The sequence below is a fragment of the Homo sapiens genome, chromosome 3 (genome assembly GCF_000001405.40).
Source record: "Homo sapiens chromosome 3, GRCh38.p14 Primary Assembly".
In the NCBI taxonomy this organism is placed as follows: Eukaryota; Metazoa; Chordata; class Mammalia; order Primates; family Hominidae; genus Homo; species Homo sapiens.
The window spans coordinates 191191912-191212766 of NC_000003.12; the positions used below are offsets into that span (position 1 = coordinate 191191912).

At 35.0% G+C, this 20855-nt stretch overlaps 1 protein-coding gene across 2 annotated transcripts in view; it reads left to right on the forward strand.

Moving 5' to 3' along the window:
* OSTN (osteocrin) overlaps positions 7330-20855 on the forward strand; it is a 66375-nt gene continuing 52849 nt past the window's right edge. The window contains exons 1-2 of one of the 2 annotated variants that reach the window (NM_198184.2): positions 7330-7396; positions 20622-20723. In NM_198184.2, the coding sequence (NP_937827.1) occupies positions 20622-20723 (102 nt within the window). In that variant the 5' untranslated portion in view covers positions 7330-7396. Of the gene's footprint in view, positions 7397-15019; positions 15179-20621; positions 20724-20855 lie in introns of those variants that run through there. The other variant, XM_017006303.3, reaches the window with a different exon arrangement.

A 20855-nucleotide genomic window follows, 5' to 3' on the forward strand; every position in this document is an offset into this window, starting at 1 on the left:
CATGGCTTCTCCCCCTTCTAGGGCCCATGGCAGCCATCTTGCTATTACTCACCTTCGGGCCCTGTATTTTTAACCTCCTTGTCAAATTTGTTTCCTCTAGAATCAAGTCCATCAAGCTACAGATGGTCTTACAAAAAGAACCCCAAATGAGCTCAACTAACAACTTCTACCGAGGACCCCTGGACTGACCTGCTGGCCCTTTCACTGGCCTAAAGAGTTCCCTTTTGGAGGACACTACAACTGCAGGGCCCCTTCTTCGCCCCTATCCAGCAGGAAGTAGCTAGAACAGTCATTGCCCAATTCCCAACAGCAGTTGGGGTGTCCTGTTTAGAGGGGGCATTGAGAGGTGAAGCTGGCTGGGCTTCTGGGTCAGATGGGGACTTGGAGAACTTTTCTGTCTAGCTAGAGGATTGTAAATGCACCAATCAGTGCTCTGTGTCTAGCTAAAGGTTTGTAAACGCACCAGTCAGCACTCTGTAAAAATGGACCAATCATCTCTCTGTAAAATGGACCACTCAGCTCTCTGTAAAATGGACCAATCAGCTCTCTGTAAAATGGATGAGTCAGCAGGATGTGGGTGGGGCCAAACAAAGAAATAAAAGCTGGCTGCCCGAGCCAGCAGCGGCAACCCGCTGGGGTCCCCTTCCACAGTGTGGAAGCTTTGTTCTTTTGCTTTTCACAATAAATCTTGCTGCTTCTCACTCTTTGGTTCTGCACTACCTTTATGAGCTGTAACACTCACTGCAAAGGTCTGCAGCTTCACTCCTAAAGCCAGCAAGACCACAGACCCACCGGGAGTAACGAACAACTCCAGACACGCCACCTTTAAGAGCTATAACACACTGCGAAGGTCTGCAGTTTCACTCCTGAAGTCAGCAAGACCACAAACCCACCAGAAGGGAGAAACCCTGGACACATCTGAACATCTGAAGGAACAAACTCCGGACACACTATCTTTAAGAACTGTAACACTCATCGCAAGGGTCGGCGGCTTCATTCTTGAAGTCAGCGAGACCAAGAACCCACCGGAAGGAACCAATTCCAGACACACTATCATCTCCTACCAGGCCCCTCCTCCAACACTGGGGATTACAATTCAACATGAGATTTGGGTGGGGACACAAAACTAAACCATATCATAGCAATAAATCCCTATATTAGAATACAAGAAATGTCTATAATCAGCAATTTAAGAATCTACCTTAAGAAAATAAAAACATATGAGAAAACTAAACCCAGATGAAACAAAAGGAAAGAAATAATACAAAGTAAAATCAACAAAATAAAATGTTAAAAATAATATAGAAAATTAATTAAAGCAAATATTGATTTCTTGAATAAATAAATTTGATAAAATACTAGAATGGTCAAGAAAAAAGCTTAAAGAAGAATACTGTATGTATGACTATCATGTACTCATAATAATTAAAAGTAAATTTTAAAAAATACTGAATTAAGAATGAAATAGGGACATCACTTACAGATCCTATAGCTATCAGAAGGACAAAATAAAAATAGTATGAATACACTCTAATAATTAATGAAGTGGACATATTTAAAAGATACAAGCTATAAGAGTGCATTCAGAAAAAAAAATAGCTAAAGTGATTAGCCCTATATCTATTAAATCATTTAAAGTTTTAGCTAGAAACCTTTCTACAAAGACAACTAACGGCATAGATGGCTTCACTAGTGAATTCTCCAAATATTTAAGAAAGAAATAATGCAAACGCCACAAAAACTCTTCCAAAAAATAGATGAAGGTATAATTCTCTTCAATCATTTTACAAGATAAGCATAACCCTGATACTATACATGAGAGATGAACTTTCTAAAAACAAAAGGTCTATATCTCTTATGAATAAAGATTGTTAAAAAAATATCAGCACTTAAATTCAGCAATAAAGAAAACAGATAATATGTCATAATCAAGTGGAGTTTATCTTGGCAAAAAAGTTATAATTCATTATATTAATATACAAAAAGCAAAACAATCTCAATAATTGAAAACAACTTTTTTAATTGACAAAATTGAATCTTCATTTATGACTCTCCTTCAAAAAAAAAAAAAAAAAAACACCAACAACTTTCAGGAAACTAATAATAGGAGGAACCATCATCAACCTGAAAAAAGACATCTACAAAAACCCTATTGTTATTATTATTAATGGTGAAAGAATTAATTTCTCCCCTCAACACCACCAATTGATAAGGAGCAAGGCAAGGATGTTCATTCATTCCACATCTATTCCATATTGCACTGGAGGAACTGGCTGAGGCAATAGAGAATAAAAACCAGTAAGAGACATACAGATTCAAAAGGGAGATATAAACACTTTCTATTTCCAAACAAGATGATTTTTTACACATGTATAATCTAAAGAAACTTACTAAAATAAAAAGTAAGTTTACCAAGATCACAGAATAAAAGATCAATATATAATAATCAGTCATATTTTATATACTAGGAGTGTCCACTCCAAAATTGAAATTTTAAAAATTATAATTTACAAGAGTATCAAAGCATGAAATAATTAATAATTAGGGAAAAGTTTAACAAAATATGTACAATTTTGTATGCTAAAAACAAAAACATTAAGGGAAATTAAATATTTAAATAAAAGAGCAATATATTGGTCAGGTGTGGTGGCTCACACCTGTAATCCCAGCACTTTGGGAGGCTGAGGGCAGGCAGATCACTTGCGGTCAAGAGTTCAAGATCAGCCTGGCCAACATGGCAAAACCCCATCTCCATTTAAAGTATAAAAATTAGCTGGGCGTAGTGGCATGGGCCTGTCGTCCCAGCTACTTGGGAGGCTGAGGCAGGAGAATTTCTTGAACCTGCGAGGCAGAGCTGCACTCCAGCCTGGCAGACAGAGTGAGACTCCATCTCAAAAAAAAAAAAAAAGCAATATATTATGTTTATGAATAGGATGACTGAATACTGATAAGACGTCAATTCTCCCCAAGTTTATCTATAAGTTCAATGAGATCCCAATCAAAATCCTAGCAGATTCTTTTTTTTCAAATTGATAGGCTGATCATAAACTTTATATGGAAATGAAAGGGCTTAAAATAGCCAAATGAATTTTGAAAATATTCTAGAAGAAAATGTAAGAGAAATTTTTTTGCAAACTTGAGTGAGGGAATTATTTCTTAAGGCACAAAAACACGACCCATTAAAAAGGGGCTAATAAATAGAATTTCATTAAAGTTAAAAATGCCTGCTCTGTGAAATAAACTGTCATAAAAATGAAAAAAAAATCTAGAGTAAGAAACAAATCACAAAACACAAACCTTATAAAAATCTTGTATCCAGAATATATAAAGAAATCTCCCAACTCAATATTTAAAAACATTTGAACAGAGGCTACCAAAGAAGATATATAAGTACATGGCAAGATTCTCAACATCATTACTTATTAGGGAAATACAAATTAAAATACAATGACATGTTTTACCCCTATACAATTTTTTGAATGACTTAATTTTTTTAATGGCAATATCAAATGCTCACCTGCATGCTGAGCAAATAGAACGCTCCTACATTGCTGGTGGGAAGGCAAAATGTTAGAACCATTTGGAAATCAGCTTAACTATTTCCTATTAAGTTAAATATATGCTTACCACATGATATAGGAATCCCATGTCTATGTATATGCTCAGGTGAAATGAAAACATGTATTCACTCAAAGAACTCTACATTAATGTTCATGGTTGCTTTATTCATATTTGTTCAAAACAGGAAACAACCCACATTTTCACCAACTGGTGAATGAATAAGCAAATTATAGTACATTCATCCAATAGAACAGTCATCCTTTTAAATATGCTTATACATGGCCAGGCATGGTGGCTCACACCTTTAATCCCAGCACTTTGGGACGCCGAGGCAGATGGATCACTTGAGGTCCGGGGTTCAAGACCAGTCTGGCCAACAGGGTGAAATCTCATCTCTACCACAAATACAAAAAAAAAAAAAAAAAAAAAAAAAAACAGCAGGGTTGTGGTGGTGCACGCCTCAGACCCAGCTACTCAGGAGGCTGAGGCAGGAGAATCTCTTGAACCCGGGAGCTGAACTGAGGTCACGGCACTGTACTTCAGCCTGGGTGACAGAGGAAGACTCTGTCTCAAAACAAAAACAAAAACAAACAAAACAAACAAAAAACAATACTCATACCTTTAACAACATGGATAAGACTCAAAAACATGCTGGGCGTGGTGGCTCACACGTGTAATCCCAGCACTTTGGGAGGCTGAAGCGGGTGGATTGCCTGAGCTCGAGAGTTCGAGACCAGCCTGGCCAACATGGCAAAACCCCGTCTCTACTAAAAATACAAAAAATTAGCTTGGCGTGGTGGCGGGCGCCTGTAGTCCCAGCTACTTGGGAGGCTGAGGCAGGAGAATCACTTAAACTCGGGAGGCGGAGGTTGCAATGAGCCGATATCATGCCACTGCACTCCAGCCTGGGTGACAGAGTGAGACTCCGTCTCAAAAAAAAAAAAAAAAGAAAGAAAAAAAAAAGACTCAAAAACATTATTCTAAGGGAAATAGATCCCAAATGCTACATACTATATGTTTTATTCCTACAGCTTCTAGGAAAGACACAAAAAGGGACAGAAATCAAATCAGTGATTGCCAGGACCTAGGGGTGGGGTGAGGGATTGACTGCAAAGAGGCATTTAGGAAATTTGGGGAATAATAGAAATGTTTGTATCTTGATTGTAGTTGAAGATACATAGCATCTGCATTTGTCAAAACTCGTCAAACTCTACAGTTTAAAAGAGTAAATGTTGTGTATGTAAATTTTACCTCAACAAACCTGACTTGAAAAAAACAGCAGGAAATATTAGACAACAATGTGAATAACAGTGGCATTTGCAGTCATGTTGGTCTTTACAAAGGACCCAATTTGTGTTTCTCGGAGCACAGTTTTGAGGTTAAATGATGTACTGGGTCCCTTTTATCTCCCCTCTTTCAATCTCTTTTCCAGTTTGGTTTCAGCAAAGGGAAACACCACAGGAGACTGAAGAAAAGAAGTAGAGTGAAATCTGGTGCTTATTTCATAGGTTCCATGCCCTCTGGTTTGCTCTTGACTTGCCATGTCCTTTTGTGAAATGTCACACTTCTGCCAGACAACTTTCTCTACTCAGGATCCCTTTGTCTCTGCGTCCCTGTAACTATCCTTGACTCTTCAGGACTAGGGTTTACTATACCACATGATCCCTTCTGGTTCTTCTACACGATGTTCACATCTCATTCTCTTCAAATTACTCAATTTGAATGTGCCATCTCTTTTCTGCCAGATTCTGACAGATACAGATAATAAGGTTCAACCCTTTGTCTTGTCACTTCTAAGCTAAGAAGATTTGGGCCACCCATTTTACAGATTTGAGCTTTAGTTTTCTATTCATTATATTTGAAAAAGTATACTTCCTTGGCAAGGTTGTTATGGGAATTAAATCATGACACGCTAGCTGAAAAAGTTTTCATTAATATTTTCTCCCTTTCTCATCTTAGACTCTCCCCATCCAACACTGAATATTTATTCTCTTTATCTTTTTATTTCTTTGCATGTTCCCATTTTTCCTCTCTCTTTTGAAGGTAATGGAATTTTTCTATCATGTGTAAATGCATAAGTAAATCATATAGAGGTGTATAATATACAGAAGGCTGTAAAAATGGCTTAAATGTACCATGGATGTTCCTGGAATAAACTGTTGCTATTTCAACTGCTGCAGAACAGTTAAGTCAAACTTTTGAATTAGGTCAACAAAATCCACAAATAGGGAGGAATCTTTGGACTGTCTAAGCAGGGACAGATCTGGAATAAATCAGCCACAGATATCACTTGTCGGCATGCTAAGAGCGGCATTTCAAATAAGGGTAGAAGGTATGCCAATAATATTGGCTTCTGGTAGCATTATGATGCATCCATTAATTCTATATTGAGAGTTTTCCATCATGTGGATTCAAGCTAACATAATTGTTTTATGGCAGTAATGTCTAAACAAGGGTCCACAATTAGGCTGTATTTTTATCTTGATTTGTGAACTGTCTCTGCCAACTACTCAAATTTCAAGCTTGTTGAGACATATGTTATCCCTGGAAACCCATCATAAAAATGAAGCATTTTACTGTCCCACTAATTCTGTGTGCTCTGGTCAGTTTCCCCATCTAGATCCAAATTAACCATGTAATTGTCCTTATACTAGTGACTAGTATTTTAAATGGCCTTTTTAGGGAAACCAAAAAGAATAAATTTATTGCTTTTTGTGCAAAAATATAATCTGGTTTGGATTCTCTTTTCTAGCTTTTAAAGCAGTGAGATAGAATGCAGTCGTGGGAAAAGAACTGGATATGGAATTAGGAAGATCTGCATTTGAAATCCAGCTCTGCGACTACTTCTTACGTGTGTGATCTCATAAAGTCACTTAATTTATCTGAGCCTTGGCCTCTTTACCTGTCAGATGGGGACCCTCTGGTGAATCAAATGAGCCATTAACGATCTAATAACATAACATGTTACCTTTATAACTTAATAATTCATTTAAAAAATAATTTGTGTATGTAAGGATGCAAATATAATTAGTAGGAGATAAGAATGAAAGAAAACCTTCAGCCAAAGGCAGAAATATTTTGGTTAAAAAGAAATCAAAGTACTGAAGAACAAGAGCAAGACAAAAATGATTACAACGTCTTCATTTATAGCTCACATGTCACAGCTCAGTATTTATAGGTTTGTTAGTGACAGCCTTCCCAGTATAGCAATGTTAATTACGAAGTAGCTGTCATTGTGTTTCACTGACACAGCACTGTGCACCTGACGGAGGCTGAAAGTACTCATTATTTCCATAGCTGATCATTTAAAGGTCCAAAAATTACACCAATAAATCCGTTTGTGTCTGATTACAATCTCTCTATATCGTACATTGAAATTCCCTGGTGACTTTTTAACAAATCTTAGTGCATTTTATTTCCCAAATATGATTTGTAATAATCAGAGCTTGACTAAAACCTCAGGAAGAGGTGATGGGTGTGAAGCTGAACACAATACTAAATCTATATTCAAATTTTCCAGAGCCTATACTTCCATCGTTATTTAAATGCCATGATCAAAGCAATAGATAGACTAAATATGGAGGGAAAGGAGGGAGGGAGAAACTGAAGAAGGAAGGGAGAGGGAGGGAGAGAAAGAGATCGAAGAGAGGCTTGGGAAAATGTTCAGTGGAAAATCTGTAGAAATGATGTAAGAGAAAGCAAAGGCAGGGATTGGAGTAAGGGGTGTATAACTGAGACTATAAAAACTCAGAGAGAAAACTCACCACCAGGGCTGAGTTTTGGAGAAACTGCAGAGACAGTACTCTAAAGTTAGAATCTCCTGATCTTTCACGAGGTAAGTTATATGTAAAAATTGATAAAGATTTAATGCTTCTTTTAACTATTATTTTTACTTTCACAGACTCTTTAAATGTTTTGATTATATCTTGATTTTGTTAAAATTAGAGTGGTAATATTTCCCTCTCTAAAATGAGTAGAAAATCAAAGATATTTTTGTAATGCAAACTTAAGGTAGAACTAATTGCTTATTCAGATATTTCATATTTATAAGATTGCTTTTCTCTTCCATTTCAAAACAAACAGAAAGTGAATGCAAAATAATAATTCTATACATATATATGTTATTAGCGTTATTTTGCTTTCCTCAAAATTGTGTAATATTAGAAAAATGTTTAATATAAAAGAGTGGTCTAAACAACCTAGGTAAAAAAGAAAGGTTTTTTCCTCATTATTTCTATCAAAACTGGAGCTTAAGAAACATCCCTAAACTAATGAAATTCTATCTCTTATGTTCTTAAAACCTAATGCATCTTCTGTTTTTCTCCTTATATGTCAAATATGCAAATATGATATTAATAACATAGTTGGAGTAGACTTAGAGTATGCCTGTTCTTCAGTATTTGTAGTGCTCTTGCTATTCAATGATTGAATTGAGAGTTAATCTGAAACATACATTTGAGCTCTGTTGGAGAAGAAATTTAAAATTTTATTTCAGGTTTAGTGTGCACTCAGTGAATTCAGTTCTAACAATTCAAATGTTGTTTCTTTGAATAACAGACTCTATAGGTTTAGGAATGTGATTATTATTTGTTTATGAGTTTTCCTTCTAAAAATTTAACATTTTTGAGAATGAATTATGGTAATTTTAATGCCTATATAAGTTATAGAATTGATAGTGTTATACCAAAAACACCAGGGACATTCTGTGTTTTCTCTTACTTTGGTACTACTCTTCAGCACGCTTACAGAACTTTTCTAAGGAGCACTTTCTGTAGATAACAGTTCAGGTCTCCTTCATGTCAGTGAATTTTACTATGGCTTCATTCAAAAATTATTCAGAGTGTTTAAGGTTGACATTTGCTTTCTCCCCCTTATTTCTCAGGATTTTTAACTGATTCTTATATACTGAATAATGAGCAGTAGAGAAGCAGATATCTTCAGTTGACTGGGCACGGGAACCTCAGGGCTATAATTTTAACTTCTTTTACAAATACTCTCAATGATTTGAACATTTGATTAATAAAATTAGATTAATTGAACTTGTCTCAAAAATAAAGAACTCGAAGTAAGAAATCCTAATATATCATTCTAGCTCTGCTATAATCCACCTATACAACTGCAGGCAAGCCTTAAGCACGAATTAAGGCTTGATAATATTGTATTTTGTCCTTGTGAAAAGGACAAAAAAAAATAGAAGTGCTAGGGATACTGAGTATAAAAATATTTGAGGAAGCCCCCATGTCAGTCAATTTTCCCTATATTAGAGAATAAAACCTCAGTATCACAGAAGTTTAGGACTAATCTTTAGAGCTAATTTAACTGCTTTGCCAATATTTCATTTACTATGACTGTTACCTACCAGACAACTTTTGCTTAGATTCAATAGTTCAGTCAGAGAAATACAAGCTTTGGAGGCAGAAAACTAGACTTCTAATTCTAGTTCTGACTTCGACAGCTTTATGGACAAACCATTCAGCTTCCCTGAAGCTTTATTCTCCTCCCCTCAGGAGCTTGTGGGGATACAACAAGTAAGCTACAACAAGGTGCTAACTCTGGGTATCTCTCTTAAATGAACCAACTCTCCAAATGGCTTAAGATCTCTCAGATTAAAGGCTTCATTTTTTATTTATTTATTTATTTTTTTTAGCTAGCTCTTTCTCTTCTTTCTTCAGATAAGTGTCACGGTACATCCCTGGAGCAGTGATGCCTTCTTCCTTATTGCCACTCCATCAGCTCAGACCTTAATACAAACCATCTCCTCCCTCCAGTAACAATGCCTCTGCCACCACCTTCTGCTCTCTCTTCCTCTTCAACAATTTCTATATTATTATCTTCTTTCCCCTCCTTTGAGCAGGTTCATTCTCTCTGAGCCTCACTTTCTCCATCTATTAATTGTGGATATTAAATTTGACAATTTTTAATGATTGCTTCCTCTGTTTCTAAAATTCTATATTCCCAGGGTACCTAAGGCTATAAATATGTGAAAATTCCACTTTTAAAATATTATATAAAATGGTATTAAAAGTTCACTTTAGGTGGCACAATTAGAGCTAGAAGAATAATGATGCCTTCAGTACAGCTGAGCTTTCTTTTGTTTCTTTCCCAGGATTACATTTTTTATAGTTGGAAGCAATTTTTATAGAAATATTATGACTCAAAATAATGATAATGCACCAAATGTTAGAGTGATTTCTATTTATAACTCTCTAGAGTGAAATTTTCTTCCCCCATTCAATATTATTTTTCTTACTATATTTTCTATCACTCTGCCTTAATTCTAGATTTTGAGGAATAATTTTGTTCGTTAAAATGAAGGATAAAAATATTTTTTCATAAAAATTAAAAAGTAGTAAAAACATTTTGAAAAGTTGCCATATTTCAAAGGCAATATCAGGATAATGATAACTGTTATTTATTGAGTAACTAATTTATGCCTGCTGATTTACCCAGATTACTTCTGATCTTCATACTAAGCCTACAAATTAGGTCTTTGCCCTATTTTTCTGAAGGAGAAGTTAAAACAAAAAGGCTAAATGACATGCCTAATCAGGATTCAGATCCAGGTCTATGTAACTTAAGAGTCAACCTGTTTCTACTAATTCACTTTGTTGTATTACAAAGTATACATACAATACTAGGAGTTAGGAGACCAGATTTCTAAAGTAACTCAGCTTGTCTCAGTTCACAGATGTTTAAAAAATAGAATTATAATGTTTTCTGTATAGGTCTAACATGACTTGTAAGGATGACAGGAGATTAATTTCAAGATAGTAAAACACTATGCAAATGTTATTTTTTCAAAAGTTTATGTATGACAATTCTATTTGAAGAAAGTGGAAGCATTCCAGAAAGGATCTGCTCTTGCAGAAGGAAATCCCTAGACAGGACAAGCGGTTGAGGAGTTTCCACCTGAACCAGGCTGTGAGCAACAGGAAGACAGAGAAAGTATCTTCTTTACTTTTATATCCCCAGTATCTGACATGCAGTGTATGCCTAATAAATGCATCCTGTTTTTGAGTAGTATAAAATTTATATTTTTGCCCCTTTGTTTAATGTTAGAGATACTTTTCCATTTATTATGTTGGCTAGCTTAATGTAATTATGATGTAAGATTTTGATCAAATATTTTATATAAGTACAAAGTGGAGTAAACAGTGAAGGGGGTCGTGAAATTCCACATTAACTTCAGATTTAAATATGCTATATTTAACTTAATTTATCCAATTTTACCCTCTGCAAGCCTTTTAATGCTGCGTAAAAAGTTGCCTATGTATGGAACGGCCAGCCGATATGTGCAACTCTATTAGCTTTTCCCTATGTACAGTTTTAAAGCTATTTTCCCTTTAGTGAGCATTAGAATTAAACAACAAATTTCATTAACAGAATTGCCTACAATTATATACTAATGTTATTTTCTATTTTTAGGTAACATAGTTTTATATCAAGAAATATTTAGTTATTTGGGGATTTAGGTACAGATTAATGTATGAAAAGGAGAAATCCTAAAGTTTAGAGGAATGATTATTTGAGGTTAGTGATGCATGTAACTTTCATTAGAATGAGAATCTGTGATGTTAAATACTAATGGATGTATCAGGATTCCAGCATGAACTTCATCACATTTTACTGTAGCTGTAGAAACATAGGCTAATCTCTTATCTTCCCTCTACCTTGGTTTTCGTATCAAGAAAGCTGGGATATTAGTATCTGCCCCGCATTCCTGTTTACCTTCCACATAAGGCTGCTCCATGCATTCATTCAACACACACATTTGACCCTGTGCCAGGCATTCTGTAAGGTGCTGAGATGCAATGGTGAACATGACATGGTCTCTGCCCTAAACGAGTTTATAACAACTAAACCCTTTGTTAAACATCCAGATCTGGGGGTTTAAAATAATAATGGAATCTTTCTCTAAGGTGGCATTGTAGGTTTCTGGCTTCTTAATTTTTGCAAGAAAGAGATTAGTAGCATTAATCACAAATCCAAATAGAGGAAAAAAACAGACAGAGATAGTTAAAAATAAAATTTTAAGATTTTGGAAGGCAAAGTATCTAAAAAAGAGTGAAAATGGTGCCAAATAGAATAAAATCAGTTAACACATGTTCTAGTAACTTATCATTCTTCCTAATTTGTTGCCTTCAGGGACAGTCATTTTAAAATGTAGGTATCTGCCACATTAATAACACTGCATCCATAAAAATATTACTTTATAAAAAATTTGTTTGGGAGATAGAAAAGGGTTTTACACTTACACAAATAGGTTATACTCGAAAGAGCATGAAACTGGGAGTCTGAAAATGAAAGTTGTTGTTCTGGCTCTTCTTCTAACTGGCTTTGTGACTTTGGAAAATTTGCTACTGCCAATTGAAGAGCACTGAGAAATGGGAAGAACACATTCCTGATATTTTATTTATTTATTTATTTATTTTGAGATGGAGTTTCGCTCTTGTTGGCCAAGCTGGAGTGCAATGGCGCAATCTCGGCTCACTGCAACCTCCGCCTCCTGGGTTCAAGCGATTCTCCTGCCTCAGCCTCCAGAGTGGCTGGGATTACAGGCACCTGCCGCCACGCCTGGCTAATTTTTTTGTATTTGTAGTAGAAACGGGGTTTCACCGTGTTAGCCAGGCTAGTCTCAAACTCCTGACCTCAGGTGATCTGCCCACCTCGGCATCCCAAAGTGCTGGGATCACAGGCGTGAGCCACCGTGCCCAGCTGATATTTTAATTTTTTTTTAACGGGAAATGTTAAATTTCTCAATGTCAGCTTGCTCCTTTTTTTCAGGAATCCAAAACATAAAGTAAATTCCCATTACACAATTTATTAAAAATAGCAAATTTCAGAAGGAAATGTTTAAATAAATGGCTATGCACCACGAGTATTTCTCAAATGTATTTTTTATGAGGATAATATAGATGATATATGTGACACTGACAGAAGCTACAAGCCACTAGCAATTTTCAATTGCTCTTGGGTGAAAATCCTCAATGATTTTAAATCTCGAATTTGAGTTTATGAAGATCCCAAACTTCTTACCCATTTCTAAGCTTCTAAGTGACACAGCCACACTCAGTTATCTGGTTTGTGAGGCAAAATTCATCAGAGACTGGAATCGCAGTTTCAATAAAAAAAGAGACCGCAATGGCTGGAGGTCCCAATCTTTGCTTTCCAGCAGGTAAGTCTCTCAATCATCTGGGTGCTTCCCTAATCAAAGAAAGCTAGAAAAACCTTCTTTAAAACTTTGTTCAAATATTGTCACTTATTGAAATATCGAGATTACCTATAGAATGACAAACTATAATTTATCCTTTTGGTTTTTTCAATATAAGTTTTGCAGATTGTCCCTATGAATGGCTGTAAGTTCCCTAAGTGACTGTTGGGTGTAAATTTTGTGTTCATAGAAAAAAATTGGCTTCAAACATCTGCCTTCAGCTTCATAACAATCACTTCAAAACAATTTTTTTAATTATGTTTTAAAAACATAATATTTTCAAATTATAGTTTACAAAGTGTTTCTACATACTATTTTAGTTTCCGTTGTAAAGTTTTTAGTTATAATAAAACACAAATTAAAAAGGTGTAGTTTTCTCACAGATAAATTTATATCCTCATATATTTTTAGGAAACAATATTAAATATAAACTTAAAAGGCTTATTTATTTGAACTCTAAGCCAATTCCATAATTTGTGCTGTTTGTAAATTAAGATTAACTAAAGTTAAATAACTTACATTTTGTGAAGAAAATCAGTTTCATTAGACAGTTTTGAATATTTTAGAGTCTTGTTCAAGATCATTAGCCCATTAAGGAGCACAGCTAAACCTCTTATTCCTGTCCTTCAAGTCTGAGCCTGAGTTTTTCCCCAGCATAATGCTGAATATCTGTATATTGTCTGAAAGAGTTTGAATATTTTTTTGAATATTTATTCTTTCATTGACAGAGAATTTTTGGAGTCACGTCAAGTAAAAAAAAATATATATATATATATGTATATAAAACCTTCACTAATATCACACACATTTGTGATGCTGGTGGAGGTTGTAGAGATCTGAAAATTCTTATTATCAAAAATTCGTATTTTGTCTTCACCAATTTTATATCTACTAAAATTAAGATCATGATTACTGAGAAAATATTCAAATGATTATTTTGTCTTGACAGACTGTTAATTCAAAATGCAGGAGAGTAGTACTCAATTATTTTTAAATTATTAATATTATTTATGTTACTTGCAACATTTCTATCTGATAACCAAGTTAAATATCATACAAGTCTTTCTTTCTCTCAGCTTAAAAGAGAGGATATAACTGCATTCTATGGCATCTGGAACCTCAGTTCTAACAATTTTTGTTTTGAAAGGGTAGGGAAATGAGCATACTGACTTATGCATGATAGGAAAAAAAAGAGAAGTAAGAAAAAAATCCTAAGTAAGGCCTGGCACAGTGGCTCATGCCTGCAATCTCAGCACTTTGGGAGGCTGAGGCGAGTGGATCACCTGAAGTCAGGAGTTCGAGAACAGCCTGGCCAACATGGCGAAACCCTGTCTCTAGTAAAAATACAAAACTTAGCCAGACACGGTGGCAGGGCCTGTAATCCCAGCTACTCAGGAGGCTGAGGCAGGAGAATCTTGCTGGAACCTGGGAAGCGGAGGTTGCAGTGAGCCAAGATCGTGCCACTGCACTCCAGCCTGGGCAACAAGAGCGAAACTCCATCTCAGAAAAAAAAAAAAAAATCCTAAGTAAACATTTTAAAATAAATATATTACCATATGTCATCAATTTTGCCTCACATTTAACATCTCTGAAATTGGAATTAGTCTTACATTTGATAAGCATATCAATTTAATTGGTAGCATTGTTTTTTCTTAACATGTTCTTAAAAATGGAATGTCTTACCATAAATGACATCCCAAAATCAAAGATTTGGAGATTCTTTCTTTTCAGCTAGAAATACCTAATTTTAAAAATACTGAAAGTGAAAGAGGAAAATATTTCTGTCACAGCCTAGATGCAATTTTTTGCATAAACTTTGGCTGATTTGAGGAACTCATCCAGTCAGTTTTCCTAGCTAAATCTGCACTATTCTCATTACCTACATGTTAAGTGTCTGCACTTTTACCAGAAAATAGCCAGCTTCACCAGTGAGCTTTAAAAGCCAGATGCAACATTAGAGGTCAGTTAGACCATCTCCATTTTAGTTGGTCTAGAGAGGAAAGTGTTTGCCCAACATCACATCACTAAATAGCAACAGAGGCAATGAAGAGCCTGAGTCTCACGACTCTTGCATCAGGTCTTTTTTCCATTACAGAGAGCTATGCAGACTTTGTGTTAAGCACTGTCCCTTTTAGGCCTTTTTCTAAGATAAAAAATTATTGTCACTCTGTCATTTATTATTCCTGAGTGTTTATAACTTAATGGAGTGGGTAAAGGGTAACCTGAAGAACGTATTATGTTTTACAGACTTACTTATGAGCCAAGCTGACTCACGACTTGCCTGGAAGAACACCATTATTTCAATGGGAGAAGATTTTAGGCGGTGTTGTCGGCAGGCACGCATGGTCATTTCATGGTGTCAGAACTAAGGCCCCTTTATAAAATATCCTGCTAAATCTCTTAAATGTATGTGCTCTGTCGCGGTGAGAAGAGAAAGTAAAGAAAATGTAGCCGTTGAATTAGTTTGTAAATCCTTTAATTAAGTCCTTTATTTTAAATTTTTGTTCAAAGGAGACTGGAGTCTATTTTGAGTATTGCCAATCAAGGTATTAGGGTAAATAATTAAAAATTCCTAGACAATATCAAGATTTACTCACAAACCTAGTACCTTTGTGAATTTCTAATTGTTGGATCAACTATCCATAAGTCAGATGTTAATCATAAATTTGCAGGTTGAAGAGAAATGTCCTTTACACCTGAGTTGTTTTTTTTTTGTTGTTCAACACCAGACTTCACATGCAGATAGTTTAAAAGTCTTATTGATTAATAGGTGCATGAGATCAGATACTGGCTTACATTGCTTCTCTTTTTCAGCCTAACCATCTCTAACATTTATACATCTCATAGAAGTTTGCTCTTTCTTTTGTAGATAAATGATTTTCAATCTCTTTTTTTCTACCCCAGCCCACATGAGAGACTTTTTTCACAATAAAAATAGCTCATTGCAACACTGATTCCTACTAATAAAAACATCTTTCTTCATCTTAACAGGCTTCTTATTAAACTCTGGTTTAAATATAATTAAGCCAGTTTTTCTTTATTGCTGGAATTTCAGAGCCTTTAATGTGAATTGGAACTCTAACACCTCTTTAAAAATATACAATATATCCCAAACATAAATGACAAAATTTTATACCTCCTGACAAAACTTTATACCTCACTGCGTTATTCCATATACCATCATTCTAGCCAGTTTGAAAGATCCTTTCAGGGTATAGTCAATTCTTACATGTGGAAAGTCCTTAAAATAAAGCATAAGATGTTATACAACATAAGACATTTGTTTATTCAGCAGAATTATTTAAAACGTCAAAACACATAATAGTCCAATTGTCTAAAAAATGAAGGACGTACACAGATAATCTTCTTATAAGGCGGATTCCATGGTCGCTGTTTCTTTTGAAACTCCACACTATCCAGAGAAATATTACTCAAAAATTACTTTTAAATAATGATGTGCTAAAAAAAAATGCAAACACCTTTACTTTGGTGCATTCACGCAATCAATGAACACCCTTTCATTGAACTTTCTGTGATCTAGAGTATACATGGTGCCTAAGAGATTTTAAATCATGGGCTATATTTATCCACTATCAACAAAAATAGGAAAATGGGGCTGAACTTAGACTTTTCCTTTCCTCCCTATAATTTCCTCCATTTCTAATTTTGTAGCAATCAAGTTTCAACTAGTTAATCAAATGTCTTTTGTATGGCAGGTGCCAGGGTGTTTGTTTTCATTAGTGTACCAAATGCCACATTTAGGAACTTGGCCTTTTGGTTAACTGGCTACAAGCATGGCTTTAAACCATTAAATGTGTGTATTTAAACTCAGCATTTATTTTTACATCTCCTTATCCAAATAATCAGGATGTGGTTATCTGTAAGATGATACATCATGATTTTTTCCTATATACACCCAAGCACAAAAATATATACCTCAGACATAATCATCAATATTGTAAACACTCATCATCCTGTACCATTTATAAGATTACAGAGAAGAGGAGAAACCTGGTTAGTGAAATGTACATAAAAATAGTTAAAGGAAATCCACATGGAAAGGCATATAAATTTGGGCAATTTTCACATTTGAAACCTATTTTTATGACAAAAAGCAAGAAAGGAAAACATAAAGAATTGTAGTTTGTCTTTGATTAAATGGGACAACAATTTCTTTTAAAAAGATATATCAGGCCAGACGTGGTGGCTCACGCCTATAATCCCAGCACTTTGGGAGTCTAAGGCAGGTGGATCACCTGAGGTCAGGAGTTCGAGAGCAGCCTGGTCAACATAGAGAAACTCTGTCTCTACCAAAAATACAAAAAATTAGCTGGGTGTGGTGGTGGGCACCTGTAATCCCAGCTACTCAGGAGGCTGAGGCAGGAGAATCGCTTAAACCTGGGAGGCAGAGGTTGCAGTGAGCTGAGATTGCACCACGGCACTCCAGCCTGAGCAACAGAGTGAAACTCCATCACAAAAATAAATAAATAAAAAAGATATATCGGAAATATGAAATCATTTTAAAAATACAGATATGTTCTTAGTACATCCTCCTTTATGTAAAGTCAAAGAGACATCAGCAAAATCAGGAGAAAAAGAATACAATTAAGTGGCTGGCTTCCTAAAGTAATCACTAATACAGGTTTTGGTTGGTATTTTCATCAGATAACTATTGCATTCTTATTGGTTATTTTCCCAGTTTAGAGACATAGTCATGATTTACTGGTTTTGCTTTTATGTTTACAGAAAATCTCAGTTCAAATATCAAGTTAGCGAAAAGAGAACACAGAATTTATTGCTCCCTTCTAGAAAAGAACGGAATATGGAGAAGCTTCTAGTAACTAGCATTATGAGACAAGATTCTGAAATAGATTAATTGGTGTCAAAATGAACAACTATTTTAAACATTGCATGTCAAAATTATATTTGATAAATAAATGTTATAGACAGTGCTAAAATATTGTATCTCCATTTTAAGTCTTAACTGACATAGTTAATACAAATACTATTCTGTTTACATAAAACATTTGTTCACATACCAGCATGTAACATTGATTATTAAAATCTACACTGTTGCATAGTGACAAGTTGTTTTTTGTTGTTGTTTTTTTAGGAATGTGGGCCAAAGTTTTATTTTTTTTCCATTTCTTGCGTTTGAAATACTCTTTGAAGACATCCTAGGCCTAAAATTCTTTGCCACAGAACTTAACTGCTGCACAACTGCAATCAACCACTTGTCAGGGTCTTCCCTCTCTGTCAGTTTTATGGCAGCTACCTGTATTAGTCCATTCTCACACTGCTATAAAGAAATACCTGAGAATGGGTAATTTATAAAGAAAAGAGGTTTAATTGGCTCACAGTTACACAGGCCGTACAGGAAGCACGGCTGGGGAGGCCTCAGGAAACTTACAATTGTGATGGAAAGCAAAGAGGAAGCAGGCACGTCTTCACATGGCCAGAGCAGGAGGAAAAAGAGAGGAGAGGTGCTATACACTTTGAACAATCAGATCTCGCGATAACTCACTCTCAGGAGAGAACAGCACCAAAGGGAAAATCTGCCTCCATTATCCAGTGGTCTCCCTCCAGGCCCCGCCTCCAATACTGGAGGCAACTCACGGCAGTGCGTTAGCAGTGGCACGCACCCGAGCCTCTGCCTCTGTGCAAACACATTGAGGGCAAGGAAAGAGCCACAGTAACAATTTTTCAAGAAAATGTCAAAAAAAATCCTGGGTCACACCAAAACAAATGTAGTTATTAAGGAAATATTTAGTGATGCCTCATATTCTTTCACTTACAGATTATAAATAGTAAATGAGAAGGGGTATGCATGAATCGATTCAATCCTCTCAAAGCTTTTTTGAGATGGGAATTACTTCTCATTTCACAAAAAGTAGAAATGAAGCTTAAGTAGGGTAAAATGATACTTATTCAAGGTTACACTGATACTAAAGCAAAAACATGACTCAAATCCAATCTTACAGATTCCATTCTAGCACCCATTTGCTCTTTACCCCCAGCAGGTTTTCCAAATGACTTTTTTTTAAGAAAATAGAGTTTCTTGAGACTTGTCATTCATAAAGGATGAAGTTGGAAGGCTTTCCCATTGCCATGTACTAAGTGGCAAAGCTTGTGTTCATGCCTACTTTGTTCTAGCTCATACTCCACGATCTTCCCTGAGTAGAGCAATGCCCCATTTTACCTACAGTTTTGTAACTTCCAGTAGTCAAACTAGCAGCAGGTCAGCCTGATGTAGGCCATAGATGAGCTTCAGTTGGCTGGATAGTGGCTTTTTAATCTAAAACGTCAAACACATCTTTGTGCTCACTACCCAGAATTAACATGTGTAAGATTTTTACATATTTGCTTTAAAATACATATAGATTAAAAACTGATTCCCTTATGTTTTTTCTATAAGTTTACTCACTTCTTCATCTCTGCAGAGGTAATCATAATCATGAATCAAGTTCTATTGGTTTATATTTTATATGTATATATTCCAAAATATATGATATTGCTTTGGGCATTTACAATTTCAGTAAATGGTATAATGTCATGTATTGTTCTATACTTTCCGTTTCTCCACAAAACTGTTTTTTTGAAATCCATGCATACAGACAAACATACATTTAAGTTATTTGTTTTAACAGTAAATATGTATTTAAGTCATTTACTTTAAATCAGTAGTCTGAAAAAATCTCAATTAATAAATCTATTTTCTCTTGAATGGGGCACTAGGTTGATTCCAATTTTTGGCTACTATATACCATGAGGCTATGAACTTTCAGATACATGTTGCATATAAACATTGACAGTTTCTCAGTAGTATACACATACCTAGAAGTGAAATAAATGTGTCCTAGGTAAGAGATAAGCATTTTCAACTTTTTTGTAAAGCATCCAATTTTCTCCAAATGATTAGATTCATTTTCAACTCCACCAGAATTTTTTTTCCTAAAACCATTCTAACATTGCAAGGTGGACCAACTTTTTGCCAATCTAATGTGTGTAAAATGGCATTTTACTTCTATTTTTATTTGAATTAAAGAAAGTGTATGTATTGTGGAAGGTTTTGTCCCTTCAGTTCTCCTCTTTTCTATGAAATGTGTGTTCATAACTTTGGCCCATTTTTATTTAATTTGTGTCTATCTTTAAAGTTATATTTAAAGGGTTCATTTACATTTTCCAAATGCTGATCTTTCTTTTATGTATATATTGTACATATCATGTATATATTCAATATATCTTCCATTAAGTAATTTGTCTTTTTTTATTGTATTTAATATGTAATTTTTTAATTTTGATATAAAAACATAGTTTTTTAAAAACAATTTTGAATCTTGCTTATGAAATCCTGACATGACACAAGGACATAAAGAAATTCTCCTAATGGATGGTGGGTGTTTTGAAATTTTGAATTTAAATATTTTTAGACACTACAGTCTCCCTGGTTCACCACAGACCAATCAGGACTTACGCTCTAATGCCTTACCACTGTTACAAATTTCTCCTCAGTTACATATATAATGTTGTAATCTCTAGGTCTGACAGTAAAAAAATAGTTACATTACCTGCATTTCTCATATTGTGGGTCAGTTTGAATTAAATTATTATTATAGCTGTACAACCCTAATCCAGGGTCTCCATGGAAAAGAAACCTTGACAGAATTCGTTCTGGGAGATGGACAGCTTCTATTAAGTATTATTTACGTTTTGTAGAGATGCACTCAAATATACTGAAGCCGAATAATTTGGCTTACCATTTGCCTCTAACAGTCCTTTTAGGAACTTCTGTTTTTTGTCTTTACATTCCAAACGAATCAATGCTAACTATGACATATGTAACCCTTAGATGCTGGACTGGAGATTGGCAAGTGCACATTTCATCCTGGCTGTGACACTGACACTGTGGAGCTCAGGAAAAGTCCTCTCAGTAGATGTAACAACAACAGAGGTAATGGAAACTAGCTTACAGAAATAAATATACATGTTTGACATGCTTTATAAATGACATGTTTGTATATAAAAGAATATATATTAAAATATATTTCATATACGTAAATATAATTTATATATTTATATATCA